At 43.2% G+C, this 21,874-nt stretch overlaps 1 protein-coding gene across 29 annotated transcripts in view, besides 3 other annotated features; it reads right to left on the bottom strand.

Annotated features, from left to right (window-relative positions):
* Positions 1-21,874, bottom strand: part of KDM1B (lysine demethylase 1B) — a 68,433-nt gene that overhangs the window by 6,168 nt on the left and 40,391 nt on the right. For 14 of the 29 annotated variants that reach the window (NM_001439118.1, XM_047418357.1, NM_001364614.2 and 11 more), the window contains 10 exons: positions 20,454-20,630; positions 20,026-20,100; positions 17,111-17,248; positions 16,030-16,201; positions 12,023-12,150; positions 10,158-10,289; positions 9,481-9,555; positions 5,083-5,199; positions 3,906-4,031; positions 2,558-2,680 (listed from right to left, as the gene is read on the bottom strand). In NM_001439118.1, the coding sequence (NP_001426047.1) occupies positions 2,558-2,680; positions 3,906-4,031; positions 5,083-5,199; positions 9,481-9,555; positions 10,158-10,289; positions 12,023-12,150; positions 16,030-16,201; positions 17,111-17,248; positions 20,026-20,100; positions 20,454-20,630 (1,263 nt within the window). Of the gene's footprint in view, positions 1-2,557; positions 2,681-3,905; positions 4,032-5,082; positions 5,200-9,480; positions 9,559-10,157; positions 10,290-12,022; positions 12,151-16,029; positions 16,202-17,110; positions 17,249-20,025; positions 20,101-20,453; positions 20,631-21,874 lie in introns of those variants that run through there. The other 15 variants (NM_001439117.1, XM_017010445.3, NM_001439119.1 and 12 more) reach the window with 4 other exon arrangements.
* Positions 2,245-2,364: an enhancer, noted in NCBI's record as "active region_24119". NCBI's record gives its function as "activates an Ori minimal core promoter by ATAC-STARR-seq in GM12878 lymphoblastoid cells {active_cell/tissue: GM12878}" and the evidence as "EXISTENCE:reporter gene assay evidence [ECO:0000049][PMID:35858748]".
* Positions 2,575-2,624: a silencer, noted in NCBI's record as "silent region_16970". NCBI's record gives its function as "represses an Ori minimal core promoter by ATAC-STARR-seq in GM12878 lymphoblastoid cells {active_cell/tissue: GM12878}" and the evidence as "EXISTENCE:reporter gene assay evidence [ECO:0000049][PMID:35858748]".
* Positions 5,972-6,021: an enhancer, noted in NCBI's record as "active region_24118". NCBI's record gives its function as "activates an Ori minimal core promoter by ATAC-STARR-seq in GM12878 lymphoblastoid cells {active_cell/tissue: GM12878}" and the evidence as "EXISTENCE:reporter gene assay evidence [ECO:0000049][PMID:35858748]".

Genomic DNA, 21,874 nt, shown 5'->3' with positions numbered 1-21,874 from the left:
TAGATGGCAGGGCGCAGTGACTCATGCCTGTAGTCCCATCCCAGCACTTTGGGAGGCTAAGGCGGGTGGATCACAAGGTCAGGAGATCGAGACGATCCTGGCTAACACGGTGAAACCCCATCTCTACTAAAAATAGAAAAATTAGCCAGGCATGATGGCAGGCGCCTGTAGTCCCAGCTACTCGGGAGGCTGAGTCAGGAGAATGGCGTGAACCCAGGAGGCGGAGCTTGCAGTGAGCCGAGATCGCGCCACTGCACTCCAGCCTGGGCAACAGAGCCAGACTCCATCTCAAAAAAAAAAAAAAAAAAGAAGGGAGATAGACATGGTACAACCCAACTCATACATTTTGCCCCCTGTTTAGGACCTGAGTCTATTCCTGTATCATTCTGAAACAGTAGTTCTCAAGATGTTCCTCCTGCTGCCTTTAAATCTACCCAAGCCGGTATTTGTGTCTTATCCTCTCTTTCCTGCCCCACCCACACACAATTCCCTCACTTCTATACCTCCTCCTTCTGCCCGGGACACACTCTCCCTCTACTGGGGGCTATCACCCATGGCTAAGAGTTCGGGCCTTCCCTTTTCCATCGTGTGGTAGCAGAAAGGAGTCTCTGGCCCAAGAAGAAAAGGGAAGGATGGAGTCTCAGGATCACAGGTTGGAATTCTCAACAGGGTTCTCCACAAAACAGTGATACAAGGTTATGTTTCACATTCACTCAATTTAAAATACAGCAGTCCCCTCTTCCCCGCCAGGAATATGTTCCATGACCCGCAGGGGATGCCTGAAACCATGGATAGGACCAATACTATACACACTATGTTTTTTCCTATTCATACCTATGATAAAGTTTCATTTATACATTAGGTACAGAGATTAATGACAATAATAAAATAGAACAATTATAACGCTATACTGAAATAAAAGGTATGTGAACATGGCTCTGATAACAGAGATGACTCCTGAGTGACTAATGGACAGGCAATGTCTACAGTGTGGAGGTACTGGACACGCTCTTCAGAACGGTGCATGACTGAAAACTTATGAATCTATTTCTGGAATTTTCCATCAAATATTTTCAGACCTTGGTTGACCACAGTAACTGAAACCATGAAAGCAAAGCCTCGAGTAAGAGAGAGCGACTGTAATTTGTCAGCTGGCCTCCAACAAGCAACACGATAAACAATATTTCTATAGAAACGGTAAGCTAAGTTCCAAACAACTAATGTAAAAAACAAACTTCTGAACAAAAACCCCAAGCAAGGGATTGCATCATTAGATAGATCCTCTCATATAAAATTAGCAACAAGGCTGGCCATACAGTGGCTCACACCTGTAATCCCAGCACTTTAGGAGGCCGAGGTAGGCGGATCACTTGAGGTCAGGAGTTCAAGACCAGCCAGGCAAACATGGTGAAACCCTGTCTCTACCAAAAATACAAAAATTAGCTGGGTGTGGTGGAGCACACCCATAATCCCAGCCTACTCGGGAGGCTGAGGCAGGAGAATCGCTTGAACCCGGGAGGTGGAGGTTGCAGTGAGCCAAGATTGTGCCACTGCACTCCAGCCTGGGCGAAAGAGTGAGACTCTGTCTCAAAAATAAATAAATTAAAATGAAATAAAATAAGCAACATATCTGAATGCCCCTTTCTCTTTAACTTACATAACTTTTGAGTCATTTCACTTCTATTTCTGCTCCTTTATTTCAAAAAGATATAAGCCATGGCCATTTACAAATCTCCAGAGATGGTGAGATTTAGTACACTGGCAAACAAAGTATCCTGAGCTCCGTGGAGAAAAGAGACTATCTGCATGTGTGCGATATTAAAAAAAGCTGGCCAAGGCTCCTCTTAAAAGGAAAGCTGTAGTCAAAGCTTCTAGGGCTTCAGTAAATATAGAATCCACGTAGAAAATACCGAGCCTTTTATATCCTTACAAAAAAAAAAAAAAAGGGAAGTGTGTATGATGTGAGAAGAAAAAAAGGAAGGAAGACAATTGTGTAAAAAAAGGTACAGGGCACTGTTACAGGCAGAACCGTGTCTCCCTCAAATTCCCATGTGGACACCCTAACCCTCAGTGCCTCAGAATGTGACTGTATTTCGTCGCATGGTCTCCAATGGGTAATTACTTTAAAGTGAGGTCGCCGGGGTGAGCCTTAATCTAATCTGATTTGTGTCCTCATAAGAAGAGGAGATGAGGACACAGACACACACAGAGGGAAGCCCATGTGAGGACACAGGGAGAAGACAGCATCTACCAGCCAAACAGAGAGGACCCAGGAGAAACCAACCCTGCCGACACCTCGATCTCAGGCTTCCAGCCTCCAGAACTGTGAGGAATAAGTTTCTGTTGTCTAAGGCAGCCAGTCTGCGGTACTCTGTGATGACAGCCCTCACAGACTAATCTCAGTGCTGAGGTGGGCAGTGGGACTCTGAAAGAAAGAAGACTGTGGCCTCTGCCTTCCTTCCTGTGATTCTCAGTGACGCTGGCTGCTTGGGCTTCACACCTGCTCTGGATAGCAAGCACGGCTTGCCCCTTTCAAGGAGGGCTTCCTCTCTCTCACCTGCTCCTTGAACAGCTCCCGGAGCGTGGCCATGCACTGCTGCAGCACCTGTTTGTCATCCAGGGTCCTCACGGATGCGACAGCCTCCCCGGCAATCACAGACATCAGCACGCTGTGCTTCTTCTGGAGACATGAAAGGAAAAGCAGGAGGTCTGTGAGTGCTCAGCTCCCACAGATAAGGGCCTCTTTTTTTTGTTTTTTGTTTTGTTTTGTTTTAAATGAGACAGAGTTTTGCTCTGTCACCCAGGCTGGAGTGCAATGGTGCAATCTTGGCTCACTGCAACCTCTGCCTCCCAGGTTCAAGTGATTCTCCTGCCTCAGCCTCCAGAGTAGCTGGGATTACAGGCGTCTGCCACCATGCCCGGCTAACTTTTGTATTTTTAGTAGAGACAGGGTTTCACCATGTTGGCCAGACTGGTCTCAAACTCCTGACCTCAGGTGATCCACCCACCTCGGCCTCCCAAAGTGCTGGGATTACAGGCGTGAGCCACTGTACCCGGCCAAGAGCCTCACTCTCACAAGTTAAATGTCACTATTTCTGGCTGTCCCTTATCCGCACGTCACTCGCCAGTCCATTTTCCTCGCAAACACTCATTATTCATCCATCCACTCTATTGCTTCCTGCTGGAAAAGAAAAACACTAAGAAATGTAAATAGCAACTTTAAGGTTCCCTTGGCTGTTCACTAATTAAAGCTTGCTTCGGAAGAAGTAGAAAGAGATGGAGAAGGAAAATCTGCAGATAAAACAATGAAAAATAAAAAAACCTCAAATGGTAAAGAAAATCTGCCCTCGGCTCCTATGTGAAACCTTTTAAGACAAAGTTTCTTGAAACTGAAAGTCAGAAACAGCCATGATTCTTTCGTGTGGCAGTGACATGACGGCAGAGAAAGTGACCACCCCCGTCCAGCTCTGGGTATGCCATTCTCCTCTCTCCTTCCTTCCCTCAGCTCTCACATCTGCTGACACTCACACCCTCCCTCACCAATCATACACCCTTTCCCAGCTCCCTAGAGGACCCTCAGAGAGGAAGTTTCAAGCACCACTCATTGACTCTGATGTCTCCAACTTCACCTAAGAGGAATTCCCCCATAGCCTGAAATGACAGTTTCCACAAGCATCCAATTCATGTCCCAGGGAGCAACATGAGGACTTTAAGAAGACATGGCAAATACTGGGGCTCCTTTCCTATAGGAAAATGTCCAGTCCAAGTGTCCTCCCAGAATATAAACATAGACCCAGGGTCTCCATGATGTTCGTTAGTTCCTGAGCTTGATAGGTGAGTAATTATCACATCAAATTCTAAACTTTAAGACGGAAATTCAAACCACAGTTCACGAATGATTTTACCTGGGGATCCATGTCATAGAACACGGCAAAAAGCCCTCGCTTGCTGGCACTGGGAGGAACGTGACCAAAAAAGTCAGCCCCTTGTACTTTACTGTCCCAAAATCTATACGGAAATTGCAAGGCAATCTGCAAAGTGAGCAGAAGAAAGGTGGTTAGGTGTCTGTCGTCACAAAACCACAGGCAATATCTAAGCAGCAACCTGTAGCTCTACTCTAAAACAAAGACACTGCCCGAAAGAACAACCCCAAATACCGCTCTTTCCATTCTCCTCACCTCCTTTTTTCCCCCTGTGAACTCCTTGGTTGTTTTTTGTTTTGTTTTGTTTTTTGGGTTTTTTTTTTTTTTGAGACGGAGTTTCGCTCTTGTTGCCCAGCTGGGAGTGCAATGGAGCGATCTTGGCTCACTGCAGCCTCCACTTTCCGGTTTCGAGTGATTCTCCTGCCTCAGCATCCCAAGTAGCTGGGATTACAGGTGCACACCACCACGCCCAGCGAATTTTGTATTTTTAGTAGAGATGAGGTTTCACCATGTTGGTCAGGCTGGTCTTGAACTCCTGACCTCAGGTAATCCATCCTCCTCAGCCTTCCAAAGTGCTGGGATTACAGGCATGAGCCACTGTGCCCAGCCCAGCTCCTTGCTTTTGATGCCACTCAGTTCCATTCCCATGGATAATGGAACCCACTGGCAACCTAGAAGCTAGTCTGAAGATGCCCAGCATTCCTAAGACTCACTCCTGGGCGTATGTCCCTAAGTTAAACTCTCACTACTCATAGGTCTGTCAGAATCTGCTGCAGCACTGGCCCATTCTGCTACAGGAGATATTAAAGGCAGGAGAAATAAACCTCTGTCCTCACTGGGGCCAATGAGTGGAAAGCAGACAAGAAAGAAAGCAGAAGGGGGGAAAAAAGGGGATAAAAGAATTGCTTATACCAAATTCAAATTGTGAATAACAAGATTCTTTCTCCTAAAGTCAAAACTCACAGACCTCAGCCAGCTCTCCTCCTTTCGTTTTGATAATATTCTTCTGTGTTCTTCACGAACAATTACTCAAATGAAAAGGAAATCCTTGAGTTTTATTTGTATTTAGATAGTACCCACTACTTCTCCATATCAGAAGTTAACATCTATCATCTGACATTAATCTCTTTCTTGCTGAGGATGAGGTCATTTCAGTCACCTTTTCAATGATGCCTGCGCCTAAGCTGTTGATAGCCTTCATCTTCTTCTCTGACAACGGTGGATTAAACTGAATGGCACCTTTCTGTAGTAAAGCCAGTGGTACAGTGACTAATACCTGTGGAAAATAATTAACAGTTAACAAACAAACAGCAACAGAACCTCACACTACCACTACACTGGTATCAACAACCCATGCTGTTATACTGGCAAGAACAAGGGCTGCCATGTGCAACTGTGCAGGTTGCTCACTGCACAAGGGTGCCAATGCCTGGCTAAGCAGAAGTGGCAACCACAGGGAAGAGTGGGCAAAAAACGTCCTGATGGTGAATAATCATCTTAGATAAGAAGAGTCAGCAGAGGCCAGGTGCGGTGGCTCATGCCTGTAATCCCAGCACTTTGAGAGGCCGAGGCGGGTGGATCACCTGAGGTCAGGAGTTCAAGACCAGCCTGGCCAACATGGTGAAACCCTGTCTCTACAAAAATACAAAAATTAGCCAGGTGTGGTGGCAGGTGCCTGTAGTGCCAGATACTTGGGAAGCTGAGGCAGGAGAATCTCTTGAACCTGGAAGGCGGAGTTTGCAGTGAGCCGAGATCACGCCACTACACTCCAGCCTGGGCAACAGAGCGAGACTGTCTCAAAAAAAAAAAAAAAACAAAACCCCGAAAAGCAGTACTTGAGGAGGAAAGAGCCCTAACTATGGAGTCAGGAGAACTTTATGCATCATTCCTAATACATTCTACTGTGTGGCCAAGCCTGCCACTCATCTCTGCCATACATCTATAAAATGAAGGTAGTATCTGCCCCACTAACCTCTGAGAATCAGGGTGATGCTTTAAAACTAAAATTTACAAGATACATCAATATGCTTCATAAGTAGTGAAACACATCACAAACATTGGGAATTGGACATTTCTGGCTCCAGACCCCATTATCGTTGCTACAATCAGGACGCCATTACTACTACTGCCAGCTCCAGAATCATGCCACATACAGAACCACGTGCACCAGCAACATGCATGCCTTACGGCCTCCTTCTTGACTTGTGGTTACTGACTAAACCCTGCAACTTTCACGAACCCTGCTGCAGAAGAACCAAACACCTCCAGCATTGTGTGCTCTCAACAGAGGCAGCAGAAGGGAAGCGAAAGTCAACCTACACCTTCTACATCTCATGCAAGTGCATCAGATTGGCTGGGCTGGATGGATGTTTAGAAACCTGCTGTAGGGAGTTGGGGAAGAGTGTGTGTATTTGCTTTCTAATATCTGCAGTACAGGATGACACCCTAGGATCAGAGTGGAATGGAGTTGAAGACCAAGCACCCAATCTACCTGAGGCTTCAAAGATTTTGTATATTTGGCTTAACTCTCAATTCTAGGATCACAGGAAGTTCAGAGTTCTCTGATTTTGTCACTATTTTCTGCCACATGAAAATATTTTTATAAAGTATAAAATATGCTCTCTATCATCAAGAAGTTTATAATCTATTTATAGATAATTACCATGCAACCAAAAAAAATGAGGCAAACCACAACAAAAAACCAATTACTATCCAATTAAATTGCAAGAAAATAAATAAAATCTAGATTTTTTTCCCCTTTAAAGAGACAGGGTCTTGCTCTGTTGCCCCGGCTGGAGTGCAGTGGCATGATCACAGCTCACAGCAGCCTCAAACTCCTGTGCTCAAGTGATCCTCTTGCCTCAGCTTCTTGTAGTAGCTGGGACCATGGGTGTGCAGCACGATGCCCAGATAATTTTTTTATGTTTGGTAGAGACAGGGTCTCACCATGTTGCCCAGGCTGGTCTCAAACTCCTGGCCTCAAGCCATCTTCTCGCCTCAGCCTCCCGAAGTGCTGTGATTACAGGCATGAGCCACCCACGCCCACAAATCTAGATGTTTTCTTAATGACAAAATAGCACTGAAAAGCATAAGAACTTGAGTAGCCCAGGTGCAGTGGCTCACACCTATAATCCCAGCATTTTGGGAGGCTGAGGCAAGAGGATTGCTTAAGACCACGAGTTCAAGACCAGCCTGGACAACATAGGGAAACACTGTCTCTACAAAAAAAAAATTTTTAATTAGCTGAGTGTGGTGGCATGTGCTTGTGGTCCCAGTTACACAGGAGGCTGAGGTGGGAGCACTGCTCAAGCCCAGGAGTTCGAGGCTGCTGTGAGCTACAAGCTGCACCACTGCACTCCAGCTTGGGCAACAGAATAAGACCCTGTAAAACAAAAAAAAAAAAAAAAAAAAAAAAAAAAAAGAAAAGAAAGAGAAAAAAAAGAAAGAAAAGCCTTGGGTAAACAAATAGGCAAATGATATAAACACATCCTAGTAAGTAATAAAAGCGAGATGTCAATGGAAGCAGCCTAGACTGAGTTAGTCTGCTGGAGGTTCATCGGTCTATCACGTTGGGTTGAAAATTATTCTCTTACAAGTTTGGGGAAACTTCCAATGCAAACTGTGGTGCGTGCTAGCTACAATAAAAATATTTGTTTTAAACATTTCAAAGTGCAGCCTGAAGCTGTGCCCTAATTTCTCCAGAAGGCTGGAATACAAACACAGAAACGCACAAGTACTGGCCAGGGTCAGGCAGAGAGTAACAAAGCAGGGGAGTTAAAACCAGCTTGCTGTCCTGGACACCAAGAAGTGGAGCTACAGAACAGCAGAGGCTGAACTGTCGGGTGACTTGCAATTTTAAAAGGTAGTATTTTTAAACACTGTTTACCACCAGGCAAAACCTATTAAGAGCTTACAGAAAAGGTCACTGCAGACAAGGTTCTCAACCACGGCTGCACACTGGAATCACTTGAGAAGCTTTAAAAACATGACTAGCCGGGCATGGTGGTGCATGCCTGTAATCCCAGCTACTCGAGGGAGGCTCAGGTGAGAGGATCCCTTGAACCCAGTTGCTCGAGGCTACAGTGAGCTATGACTGTGCCACTGCACTCCAGCCTGGGCGACAGACTGAGACCCTGTCTCTGAAAAAAACAAACAAAAAAGCGAGGCCAATTCAACAAGAACGCATCAGGGTGGGGCTTTCCAGCCTTTCTTTGTAAGCGCCTCCCAGGTGGTTCCGACGTGCAGCCCGGGGATTGCTGCCCAAGATCTCCGAGTTGGTTAATGGCAGGAATAATGTTAGGATCCCCTGCCCCGACTAACTCATTCCCTAGACCTGTCTTTCCCATGTGACATGCAGTCCTTTACTTCTGTATGAAAATCAAGGACTATGAAATAAGTTTTAGATACCTGAAGTGTAGGAAGCATAGCTAGTCTAGGAACTAGTGATAGTTCATCAATTATATTTTTTCATAGTCACTTAAGATATAACTAAACTTAAATTTTCAAGGTTTACTAAATCCCCTCTACCCCAAGGAGGCACCTTTATTCTCCAATACTATAAATCTCAGTGTGATTTCAGGTATTTGATTCAGCAGTACCTTGTACTGTTCACCTACTATAAAGCTGTTTACAAAAAATTTAAGCCATATGAAAGTACTTCTGATAGTTTCAAGATTTCAAGATGAAAACAGAACTTTCCTGATCTGAAGAAGGATTCCGTGGTTTAAAAAAATGTGGAGAGCACAGAATAAAAGTAAAATAGATTTCTTTAATGCAGGACTTCTCAGAGCCTTTAATATACTTCTATTTGGGCGGAGCACAGTGGCTCACGCCTGTTACCCCAGCACTTTGGGAGGCCGAGGCGGGCGGATCATGAGGTCAGGAGATCGAGACCATCCTGGCTAACAGGGTGAAACCCCATCTCTACTAAAAAATACAAAAAAAAAAAAAAATTAGCCAGGCGTGATGGCGGGTGCCTGTAGTCCCAGCTACTTGGGAGGTTGAGGCAGGAGAATGGCGTGAACCCGGGAGGCGGAGCTTGCAGTGAGCCGAGTTTGCGCCACTGCACTCCAGCCTGGGTGACAGCACGAGACTCCATCTCAAAAAAAAAAAAAAAAAAAAAAAAAAAAAAAAAAATATATATATATATATATATATATACATACACATACTTCTATTTAACCCTATACAACTCCTATTTAATCCTAAAAGTAGAGTATCGTATACAATACTTCCCAAACTTACTTGGCCTTGCCTAACTTATTTGGCCAAGGAATTTTTTTTCTTGTTCAACTCTCAGGACTAATGTGCCCTAGAACTCACCTCAAGGAACACAATTCAGAATTCCATCTGCCATGAGTCTATACAGTGTTAGAGCAATGAAATCAGCTTTGCATATCTACATACAATTAAGTAGAGATACATAACTTACCAGAAATCCAACAAGGGTCCAGGCAGATTCCCAAAGGCAAACTCCTTGATAGGAAAGATTTGTCCTTCCCTCCAAGCCCCTGGCAGCAAAGGTTTCTACCCACCCTTGTACTGCCCTAGCTCTTACCTTTTGTGCAGAATACCCTGTGCCATCTGTAGTGGTAACCTGCACTTCATCTCCAGAATAATCAATACACTGCACCTGCTCAAAAAGCAATTATGAAAAAAAGTGAGGGATGGAACCACGTGATCCAGGATCCTTTCCGATTCTCATATTACATGAATTTACATCTCCAAGGCTAAGGGGAATCTTTTCCTGGCATTCAGAGATCTAAACAATTGTTATAGCTGAACTGAGGGAGTTAGAATTTATACTCTGTCAGAATATACAAAATAAACATTGTGTCGGAATATAGAAGATAGTTATAATATGGTGTGAAGGGAAATACAGTTAAGTAATCACCCCCATGATTACAATAACACACAATACAAATGCACTGAGACAAAGATTTGAAGGGAAAATTTTAAAGTGAAAATAACTGCACTGGGTTAGGAAAGTTGCGAAGCAATTTGAATACCTTCTTCTTAATAGAAATGCACTGGGGCCACTACGGTTTCCAAGCAGCAGCAGCTGCCTCACTGACATGGATAATGCTACACAGGCTACGAATGAGCCACAAAAGTACTTCTAGACCCTGGCTAAACACCAAAGCCAGCCCCATTCTCCTGCGTGAGCCGCATGCCCAGAACTTCACATCCTCCCCAAACAAGGCGAGCCAGAGCCTCCCAGCAGTTGATACTCACTGGAGATTTGAGTTGAATGTCAAGCCCTTCTGCCAGTTTTTCAATTATCACCGAGTACCCGGGAGTTAGCAGAGTGTGGTCACCAGCAAACTGGGCAAAGAATTCATTGTGGTCCCACGAGCGAGCAGATACCTGGGAAACAAGAGAGGTTGGGGACACAGCAGTGTAAATCCTTGTGCCTGTGCCTGAGAGCCAATATGAGGAGCTCCAGGTGGGAACAGCCACCAAGGCAGGAGGGCAGGGGACAGGCAGACCAGCCTAGGCAGAGACCACCACTGGGGGAGGAAATCTCGATAATTTTATTTGAGGAAAGTTTATTTGAGAACAAAAGGTCCATATGACTTGGACATGGGTACCACTCCTTGATAAAAATAGAAGCTGATTTTCTATATTGACAACTCTGGCAAAGTAGAATTCTATGAGGGTAAAACTGTATTTGATCAACATATATAAATATGCTATCTGTCCTCAACATGGAAGCTCTACAGAATAGAAACCCTGCACGATTTTGGAAAATAGCATGACTCCAATCACAATGCAGAACCAAGTGGAAATGGAGAGGTCCCAAAGGGGCCTCTGAAATCATCCGTGGAGTTCTATTCAAAATACAGAATACTGGGGTATTAAGTTCACAGTTGGTTAAATGAGTTAGGCAAGCTTAAATTTACTTTAACAAGGTAAACAGACCAGACTTGCAAGGATACTCTATTTTGGCTTCTCGAGAGCAGTGTTTCCGACTCCACGGTTCCACAGAAATGACCCAAGGCCCTCTGCAGAGGGCAGGGAAAGGACGGTAAAGAGACAAGTCCTGGTGCAGTGGCTCATGCCTGTAATTCCAGCATTTTGGGAGGCCGAGGCAGGAGGATCACTTGAGACCAGGAGTTCAAGACCAGACTAGGCAACATGGCAAGACCCCATCTCTACAAAAAATAAGAAAAACATAAGAGACCCTGATCTGATTCAGCCCAATAGCCCTCCTTCCTTTGGAGTGATTGATTTCTTTTTTCTCCCCCTAGACAGGGTCTCACTCTATCGCCCAGGCAGCAGTGTGGTAGCACCATCACAGCTAACTGCAGCTTTGAACTCCTGGGATCAAGCAATCCTCCCACCTCAGCCTCCCACTTAGCTGGGACTACAGGCACATGCCACTAAGCCCAGCTAATTTTTTGTATGTTTTGTAGAGACAGGATTTTGCCATGTTGCCCAGGATGGTCTTGAACTCCTGGGCTCAAACAATCCGCCTGTCTTGGCCTCTCAAAGTGCTGGGATTACAGAAGGGAGCCACTGCACCCAGCCTCTTCCTTTGTTTTTACGTATTGAGCTTCTTTCACAAGCATTATCTGAAGAAGAGTTTCTCTTGCTTAAAAAAAAAAAAAAAGTTTAAAAAACAACCAAAACCACTGTGGGGTTAATATGCTCAGAAGTCATGGTTTTCAAACTTTTAAGGAGAATCATTCTTTCCTGTTTATCGAAACCAGCTCAAATTCAATATTTAGACACACAAAACACACACACACATACACAAAAACAAGTATTTTATTTATTTATTTATTTTGAGACTCCAGGCTGGAGTGCAGTGGCGCGATCCCAGCTCACTACGACTTCCGCCTCCCAGGTTCAAGCGATTCCCCTGCCTCAGCCTCCCGAGTAGCTGGGACTACAGGTATGCGCCACCAGGCCTGGCTAATTTTTTGTATTTTAGTAGAGACAGGGTTTCACCATGTTGGCCAGGATGGTCTCGATCTCCTGACCTCATGATCTGCCCACCTCGGCCTCCCAAAGTGCTGGGATTACAGGCGTGAGCCACTGCGCCCGGCCTAAACCAAGTATTTTCAAAGCACACCTTTCACAAAACCCAAGCGCACCTGGTGAAGGTTGCTGCCACAGGCGTACTCCAGGTTACTGAGATGGAACTGAAGCACCTGTCCCTCCAGCTCACTGAATTGGATACCAGATTCCTTAATAAATGCCTTGTAGATTTCTTCTATCTTTTCTGTAATGGGAATGGATCAAAGCAGAAAAAAATAGCTTTAACAAGATTCTCCAATTCTTTCTCCTTTGCTTTCAACCTCTGTCACCCAGCAACACCCAAAACTTCCAAAGTCTTTTCCCAAGTAAAGTCAGAGGGGAAAAGATCTCTTGATAAGGTCCATTTCTCTCAGGAAGAGAAAGTTTATCTTTTTTTTTAATTTTATTATTATTATACTTTAAGTTTTAGGGTACATGTGCACAACCGGAAACAAAGCTATGTAAGTTCTATATCTTCAGAAACGTCTCAATTTCGCTTCGTTGAGAAGTGGTTTCCTCTTTTGCTCAAGATACAGAAAAACTGTCCCCACACATAGATGTACATGCACACACACAGAAGTTACCATTCTCTTTCTGGTCCTGCTGCCATCACCTTAAAGTCAATGCTTACAACATCTCACCTCAACTAAGAGACCTGTAACCTATTGGCTACAGTCTGTCCCAAACAAGAATATTCCATTATGGGCTTGTATCTTGTCAGCACTCCGCCTCCATATCTACAATTACTGGTTGCCTATGTAATAAATTCCCCAACCACAGCCAGGCAAAGCTAGCACATTTTAATCTTTCCAAAGGCAGCAGCTACGATCTGCCCACTCGCAGGCTCTGCTGTAATGCTTTGAATCTTTTTCCTGGTAAATTCCTACCCTGCAGGGTCTGCGACCTCCCACTCTCCCTCATGGGAATGCCTTCTCCCACCCAATCCCATCCATTCTTTATAGTCGGGCATCACCGGGCCGTGGCAAGCCCCCAGAATTTCTCCCTGTCATCAACTCCAGCCCTTACTTATCTGTCCCACTCAACCGGACCTTGTAACTATATGGACACAGCCCTGTGATATCATTTTTGTCTTACATTCCTTTATAGCAGGGCTGGAAGAGGGTTCTGGCTTGATGTCTGACTAATTCTAAGCATCTCAGTACAGGTTACTTCTTTACAACTGTTCCAGTGATGACAACCATCCAAAACATGTATCACAGACTCCACGTTTCTTTTTCTGGTGGTGTTTTCTTTTTCTTTTTTTTCCTGAGATAGGGTCTCACCATGTCACCCAGGCTGGAGTGCTGTGGTGCCATTCCGACTCACTGCAGCCTCAACTTCCGGGGCTCCAGCAATCGGCCTCCCAAGTAGCTGGGACTACAGGCGCCCGCCTCTATGCCCAGCTAATTTTTGAATTTTTAGTAGAGATGGGTTTCACCATGTTGCCCAGGCTGGTCTCAAACTCCTGAGCTCAAGAAATCTACCCACCTCAGCCTCCCGAAGTGCTGGGATTACAGGTGTAATCCCAAGTTTAACAGAGTGTCACACACTTCTCTGACTAGAAGCAGAACTGAGTATCAGTTACTTCAAATATTTTTTTTTTTAGAACAGCTCAAGGCTTTCATCAAAATGTTCAGTTCTTGCACTAGATTGTAACATGCGGATGCCCAAGAGGCCTCCAGATTTGTGCCTGTCTTTGTTGCTCCTAGACCCCTGGGCTTTGTGCCACTTTCTGTGACTTTTGTAGAAGTCCCATCCCCGCTTCCTGCTGTGCAGTTTCTACATTCCTGTTGGTTTTGTGGAGGCGGCGGGGAGAAAAACCAAGATTGCTAAGATAGTGTATAAACAGACTGAGAGAGGCCTCAATGTGATTTTTTTTTTTTTTTTTTGGAGACGGAGTTTCGCTTGTCATCAAGACTGAAGTGCAATGGCCTGATCTTGTCTCACTGCAACCTCTGCCTCCCAGGTTCAAGTGATTCTCCTGCCTCAGCATCCCAAATACCTGGGATTACAGGCATGCACCACCATGCTCGACTAATTTTTGTATTATTAGTAGAGACAGGGTTTCACCATGTTAGCCAGGCTGGTCTCGAACTCCTGAACTCAGGTGATCCACCCGCCTTGGCCTCCCAAAGTGCTGAGATTACAGGCGTTAGCCACCGCGCCCAGCACAGTGTGATTTTTATGTAAATAATATTTAAAACAGCTTTAGTGCACATGCTTTCTGAAATGAAATCTAGTCCCTTAGTATTTAGATTTGAGTTTCCCCAGCTTTGTGCTGGTAAGATGAGATCTCAGACAGCTAAGATACCAACAGGCAGGATATAACTATAGCCTTACACAGAGATGTGTGCACTACTATCAAAGCTTTTAAACAAGCTATTGATAAGATGAAATACCCACTTACACAGTAAGAATTGCTGAGCCTACCTTAACAACTTGGGTTTTTTATTTGTTTTGTTTGTGAGACAGTGTCTCACTATGTCACCCAAGCTGAGGTGCAGTGGCGAGATCACAGCTCACCACAGTCTCTAACTCCTGGACTTAAGCGATCCTCTCACCTCCTGAGTAGCTGGGACTACAGGCACACACCATCATGCCTGGCCTACAGCTTGTTCTAGGTAAGGGTAAGGCAAAGCATTATCATTAAACATTTTTATATGGTGACTCTGAAAGACATGTAATGAAAACTCCAGCCAGTGACTGCAACACAGGTACAAAACACTAACCAAGTCCTGAGAATATCCTGCACGTCAGCCTAATAACTGTTCTCAACTCCAGGAAATTTAACAACTTACGAATTAGTCTGGACACTACAACATTTGATTAAATGATCCCTGTTGACGAGAGTATATTTCTGAAAATGTTCTCTTGTAGTATATCAGTCAAAACTTACTAAGGACGATTACAGCATAGGTCTCCTAGAGGTGGTGGGTTGCCACAGGAGAGGGGAAGGGAAAAGAGAAAAAGAAGAGATACATAGTCCCTGCTACTAAGAAGTTTACCCCAAACAGAGATGAACTGTATATCAGCCTGAAGAATTGAGAGCTCTTGCAAAGAAACATACAGTTGAAGCAAATTAACACCTTGCAAACTGAGTTCCAATGTTCACACTACAAGAAACTCCAACATGCCTCCAAGAACTACAAGTGAATACATTCAGGTCACAAAATTGTAGGCCAAATAAATATCAATTTAAGAAGCAATACAGTAAAATTTAAGCTGGCACCCTCGTGAAAATGAGCCACTATGGATGGTCAAGTTTTCTAAATAGTTGTGGCTAATATTGCCCATTTAAGTACAAAAGCCAAAAGATTTTGAATTAAAATTCCTTTTTTTTTTGAAATAGGGTCTTGCTTCATTGCCCAGGCTGGAGTGCAGTGGTGGGATCATAGCTCACTGGAACCTTAACCTCCTCAGCTCAAAGCTATCCTTCCACCTCAGCCTCCCGAGTAGCTGGGACTACAGACACACACCACCATGCTTGCCCCCCGCCCTTTTTTTTTGTAGACACAAGGCTCACTATGTTGCCCAGGCTGGTCTTGAACTCCTGGACTCAAGTGATCTTCCCCGCTTGACCTCCCAAATGTTCGGATTACAGGTGTGAGCCACTGTGCCTAATGGGTTAAAATTCTTAAACTGTAATACTCTTGCATTCTTAAAATATACTGGAAAAAACCTTAACTCACTGCTCAACAAAAAGAAATCCTGGCACACACAAACCCTTACCTAGAAAAGACATTACAGGGTGATGATTTATCACACAGGGCTTACCACATGTTCCCATAAAAGTAAGCTACTCTGGGAAATTTAAAATTAAACACGTAGGTAATTTTGTAAAACACCAGCTATTGTGTAAAGTAAGGTCTGTGTGTGTGTGTGTACACAACACAAGCATCTAAGCCTCCCTACAAAAAGTTCTCCTCCCCTGAGAACTTGGAGAATCCATCAGTCCAAAAGAAATGCTCAGGAGGGCTACCCTGTTGCCGACATCCGACCTCGCAAATGAACAATGCCACTGCTGATGAAGCTTAGGTAACAACGAAACTGAGATGGAACAATCAGAACACCGTTCTCCCCATACCTCCTAAAGGGACATCTTGGAGCTGAGTCTTATCCTTTCTCCACTCAGAGACAACATCCAAGAGAGCATTAAAATGAAAATCCATGCGCTTGTCAATAGTGGGGTCAGTTATTCTTCCACCTTCCTGAATTAAGTCACATCTTTCTCCAAATTTATGCATGCTGATGCCAAGCTTCAAAATAATAAGAATAAGAAGGTGAAAATTTTCCCTGGAAAAAAATATTTACAGGTTCTAAGCTGAAAATCAGACAGAGCTCTCATGGAGAAAATGGTCTCATATCTCTCAAAAATAAAGCTAAATATGCTTCACGGGGAATGGCAGCAAAGTCAGGCAGTGAAAAAAAACAGCATGAAATCTACAAGATTTTATTTGATGAGAATGTGAGAGGGGCAGCAACAGCTCCTACGCCATGCCCATTGTAACTTTTTGGCTAATGTTTCAGATGCTAGACACTGCCTGTCCTTGCTCAAACATTCTGTCTCCTCTGTGGACCCTCATGTAAATGAACACACAAACACACAAACACTCATAGCAGAAGTTGAAATTGAATTGACCATCAATAAACATTTCAGAAAAAGTCTTGGGCCTACCAACTCTTCAAATAAACTCTCTATGACTGCCAGATTAAAGACAGGCTGCCTCCTTAAATATGATGTTCAGATTAGTAATACATAATTTTTTTAAGTATAAGTATGTCCCAAATATTGCATGTAAAATATCCCATGTAATACTGGGAAATACTTGGGTAAAAAATTACTTGTTTATCTGAAAATGAAATTTAATTGAGAATTCTGGATTTTTATATGCTAAATCTGGCAACTCTAAAATTATGAGATAACCAAGTGGCCTGCAAAGAACAAGGAAATAAAATTAAATAGCTTAGAAAAAGGAAAAAAAGTATTTTACATCCTCTAGTTCTACCTTCTCAGAAAGGCAGAAGTGTAATTCTTACTGCTTTGCATAGGAGATGAGGGGGCTGTTATATGTAATTTACTTTAGAAGCATATTAATACTGCACACAAGCAAATTGAAACTGTTTTTCTTTCCTTTATCTACAACACAAAGCTAAAAGAAACTCACTTGTTCACACATTAATGCTACTGGGTTGTTAATACACCCATTGACAATCTGAGCTCCTCTTCCCACTGTGACGCCTTTAAAAGATTTATCATCCCAGACTCGGCCTCCAATTCTGTCTTTGGCTTCCAGGACAGTCACCTAAAAAGACAGACAGTCAGGGAAGCTAAATAGGACACAAGAGTTATATCAGACACAGTATTATAAAAATGTAGAAGGACACTGTTAAATAGCCTCTATATTTGGTTAATTCCAAATATTTCTAAAAAAACAACTTTAAAAAGCAGGCAGTGTGAAGAGAAGCCAAAATAGATGTTCAAAACAATCCATCTAGACTCTAGCGAGGAAAAACTGAGTGGTCTGTTGAAAGAATCACTCAAACCAGATACTAAGATTTGATGAACTAGGCCAGATGCGATAGCTCATGCCTGTAATACCAGCACTTTGGGAGGCCGAGGCAGGAGGATCACATGAGGCCAAGAGTTTGTGACCAGTTTGGCCAACATGGTGAAACCCTGTCTCTACCAGAAATACATAGTCGGGTGTGGTGGCATGCACCTGTAATCCCAGCTATTCAGGTGGCTGAGGCACGAGAATCACCTGAACCCTGGAGGTGGAGGCTGCAGGGAGCAGAGATTGTGCCACTGCACTCCAGCCTGGGCAACAGAGTGAGACCTTGTCTCAAAAAACAAAAAGATTTAATGAACTAGTACATGAAATGTACTTTGAAAGCTTTTTATAAAATAGTATTCCATAAGAAGCAGTTAAAAACTTCTTTAGGTGATTTTTCCTAAGAAATATCTACATAGCAAAATTCCTTTAGGACTGCAAATAAGCTTTAACTTCCCTAAGATATATTATTTAAAAAAAAAAAAAAAAAGTATGCCACTCCATATAAATATTACTTCATGGGCTTGGCCTAATGAGGTCTGTCTCATACCCAGGCTATTTTATTGCCCCCAAATTTCTAATGCTGGTGGCATGAGAAGCTGCTCTTGGGTGCACAGGCAGCACGTCACCTGCAGCCCTGGATGCCTAGTGCCACATTCCCAGAGCTGCATTACCTGAAAATGTGAGTCCTATTCATCGCAGGGCCAGTCTTTCACTTCTGGATCTCTAGAAACTACTTGAAATTCTCAAGGAGAGGTTCCCCAAGTTAACCATCTTTCAGGCTACTCAGAGGAATCTATTTCCCTCCCATGGCGGGAATGGAGGGTCTCCTGGGTATCTCCCCCATCACTTGGGGATGGGGCGGAAAGGAATATTGATTCTCCAAACTGCTTTCTCAAACTTACATTCTTCACTTTCTCTAACTAGGAAGGCTGCACCTTGTAGTTCTACCCTCTTTCTCTGACAGAACCATCCATTTCTAGTTTTTGTTTGAGTTGGGGTCTCACTCTGTCACCCAGACTGGAGTGCGGTGGCTAGATCTCGGCTCACTGCAACCTCTGCCTCCTTCACTCAAGAGATCCTCCCACCTCAGCCTCTTGAATACCTGGGGCCACAGGTGCATACCACCATGCCCGGCTAATTTTCTGTTTTTTTCTTTTTTTTTTTTTTTTTTTTTTTTTCTGGTAGAGACAGGGTTTTGCCATGTTGCCCAGGCTGATCTCAAACTCCTGAGCTCAAGCGATCTCCTCACCTCGGCCTCCCAAAGTGCTGGGATTACAGGCACTGAGCCACTGTGCCCAGCCCATTTCTAGTTTTTTTTTTAGTATAAGAGGAAGGCTGAACATTAAAGACTAGCCTGCCTAGATTTTGGATTTTAATAACCTTCCTTGTAATATAATCTGTAGGTTTCCCAAGTAAAACTCAAATAACCTTGGCCCAAATATCTAATACTGAAATAAACAATCAACTGAAACATGTGCTAGGCCTGGAGCAGTGGGTCATGTCTGAAATGAGATTCAAAGGGCGTTTTGTTTTTTTTTTTTTTTTTTTTGAGATGGAGTCTCGCTCTGTCACCCAGGCTGGAGTGCAGTGGCGCAATCTTGGCTCACTGCAAGCTCCGCAAAGGGCGTTTTTGACGGGCATAAAAAAATTTAACTGGAGGCCGGGCACAGTGGCTCGCACCTGTAATCCCAGCACTTTGGGAGGCCAAGGCAGGCAGATCGCTTTAACTGAGGAGTTTGAGACCTGCCTTGCCAACATGGTGAAATCCCGTCTCTACCAAAAATACAAAAATTAGCCAGTCTCATAACACTGTCTCAAAATAAATAAATAGATTTAAAAAAAAAACTTAGAACTGAGTATTTCAGAAACTTTTTTACACAAGGAATAATGAATATCCATGCTACTATTTGCTGTCTCAAACTACTGCGGAAACGGGCTTTTTCTCATCATGTCTATTGTGCGAATAATAATCTGTCAAGAACTTCTACTTTGGCCAGGTGCAGTGGCTCACATCTGTAATCCCAGCACTTTGGGAGACCAAGGCAGGCAGATCACTTGAGGTCAGGAGTTCAAGACCGGCCTGGCCAACACGGTGAAACCCCACTCTACTAAAAATACAAAAATTCGCTGGGCATGATGGCACACATCTGTAATCCCAGCTTGAACCCAAGAGGCAGAGGTTGCGGTGAGCTGAGATCGCACTGCTGCACTCCAGCCTGGGCGACAGAGCAAGACTCTGTCTCAAAAAAAAAAAAAAAAAAGAATTTCTACTTTAATGCCAAGTTAGAATTTCTTCTGACTTGCTCATTAGAGTCTAAAATTATCTCCAAAGCTGTGAGAATTTCTATTTACCTTTTTCTTATGAAATCAATTTCAAGTTTTATAACTTTTCTAGGACCTAATATAAACATATAATGTATTTAGTATTCTTCACTAAAAATAGGAACTGGTTTCTAAATCTTAGAAATTTGGACCAAAAGGAGCAGTCAACCATCTGTTCTAACTCCATGTCCCCAAAATCCTACCTTAATTCCAAAGTTATGCAGTTGCCTAGCAGCTGCTAATCCTGCTGGACCAGCCCCGATAATGATGACTGATTTCTTAAAAAGAAAAGAAACAAAAGTCCAATTAGAGCAGATGATAACAACGTCCTGTTTTAGTTGTTCCGGAACTGCAGAGCAAATTCGTTCATTTACATTTCTTTGATGTCCTTAGAAAGTTATTTTCCTAAAGAATGTGGTGGCACTTGTCTTATTACTCCCTTCCCTTTTTCCCTACAATCTGGGGAAAGAGTGCTTGATATTCTCCTTTCAGGAGAAACACATTCTGCGAAAGCCTTGCTTCTGTTAAGTTTTATGGTGATAATGTGGCTTTTACTATATTTATTAACAGCAACAGACTAGCGTTTGTCCTGATCAATGGCAAGGCTATCGCTAAAGCTATAATCACCTACATTGTGGTAGTCCTTAGGGAGAAGATACTGGTCGGCTCCCACGCTGAGAACTCCAGTGTTGATGAGACCTTTTCTGGTCATAAAATACAGTATTCTCTCCACTTCCTGAACGCATCGAATACGCACGAGACCCCGGACGATGATGTGAGGAATACATTTCTGAGGAGTAAGAGCTTCCTGTGTTTGGAAATAAAACCAAACTGCTTTTTTAAAAAAGTCCCAAGAAATTCAAACAATAGCAGGAAAACAATCCATTTAAAAGACAAGTAAAAGATCTGAATCAACATTTCTCAAAGGCAGATGCTCAAATGGCCAACAGGTACAGTCCTCCCTGGTTTCCAGGAGGAGATTGGTTCTAGAATCCTCCTGAGAAGACCAAAATCCATAGATTCTCAAGTCCCTTATGTAAAATGACATAATATTTACATATAATCTACGCAGACTCCAGCATGCTTTACGCTACCTCTAGATTACTTATAATACCTAATACAATGTAAATGCTATGTAAATAGTTGTTACATAATATTGTGTAGGAAATAATGACAAGGAAAGTCTGTATAGTGTTTAGTAGAGATGCCACCATCCATTTTTTTTCCCAAATATTTTCAAGATGTGGAACCCAAAGGTACAAAAGTCCAAGTATATATGAAAAACTCCTCACCATCACTAATCATCAAGGAAATGCAAATTAAAGCCACAATGAAAATCACCTCACACCTGTTAAAATGGCTATTATCAAAGAAGACAAAAGGTAACAAATGATGAAGAGAAAAAAGAACCCTTATTCACTGTTGGTGGAATGTACATTAGTACAGTCATTATGGAAGACAGTACGGAGGTGTCTCAAAAAACTAAAAAATAAAACTACCATACGATCCAGCAACCCCCACTGCAGGGTAGTCAAATAAAATGAATCAGCACGTCAAAGAGAGATGTGCACTCCCATGTTCATTGCAGCATTATCACAACTGCCATGATATGGAATCAACCTGGAGTCCACTGATGGATGAATAAAGAAAATGTGCTATATCCACACAATGGAATACTATTCAGCCTTAAAAGAAAAAAAGGAAATCCTGTCATTTGCAACAACATGGTTGAACCAGAAGCACATTATGTTAAGTGAAATAAACCAGACACAGACAAATACTGCATGATCTCACATACACATGTGGAATCTAAAAACACCCAACTCACAGAAGCAGAAAGTAGAATGGGCATTACCGGGGCTGAGGGGAGGGGGAATAGCGGGGAGATGTTGGTCAAAGGATAAAAAATTTCAGTTTAGACAAGAGGAATAATTTCAGGAGATCCATTTTACAACATGGTAACTACAACATATAGTTAATAACAATGTATTATATACTTGAATATCATGGAGAGAGTTTTAAGTTATCAGAGACAAAAAAGGTAACTATATG

This window comes from Homo sapiens, chromosome 6, assembly GCF_000001405.40.
Source record: "Homo sapiens chromosome 6, GRCh38.p14 Primary Assembly".
Lineage (NCBI taxonomy): Eukaryota > Metazoa > Chordata > Mammalia > Primates > Hominidae > Homo > Homo sapiens.
Note: the sequence above shows the minus strand (reverse complement) of the source record. Positions and strands in the feature narration are given on the sequence as shown.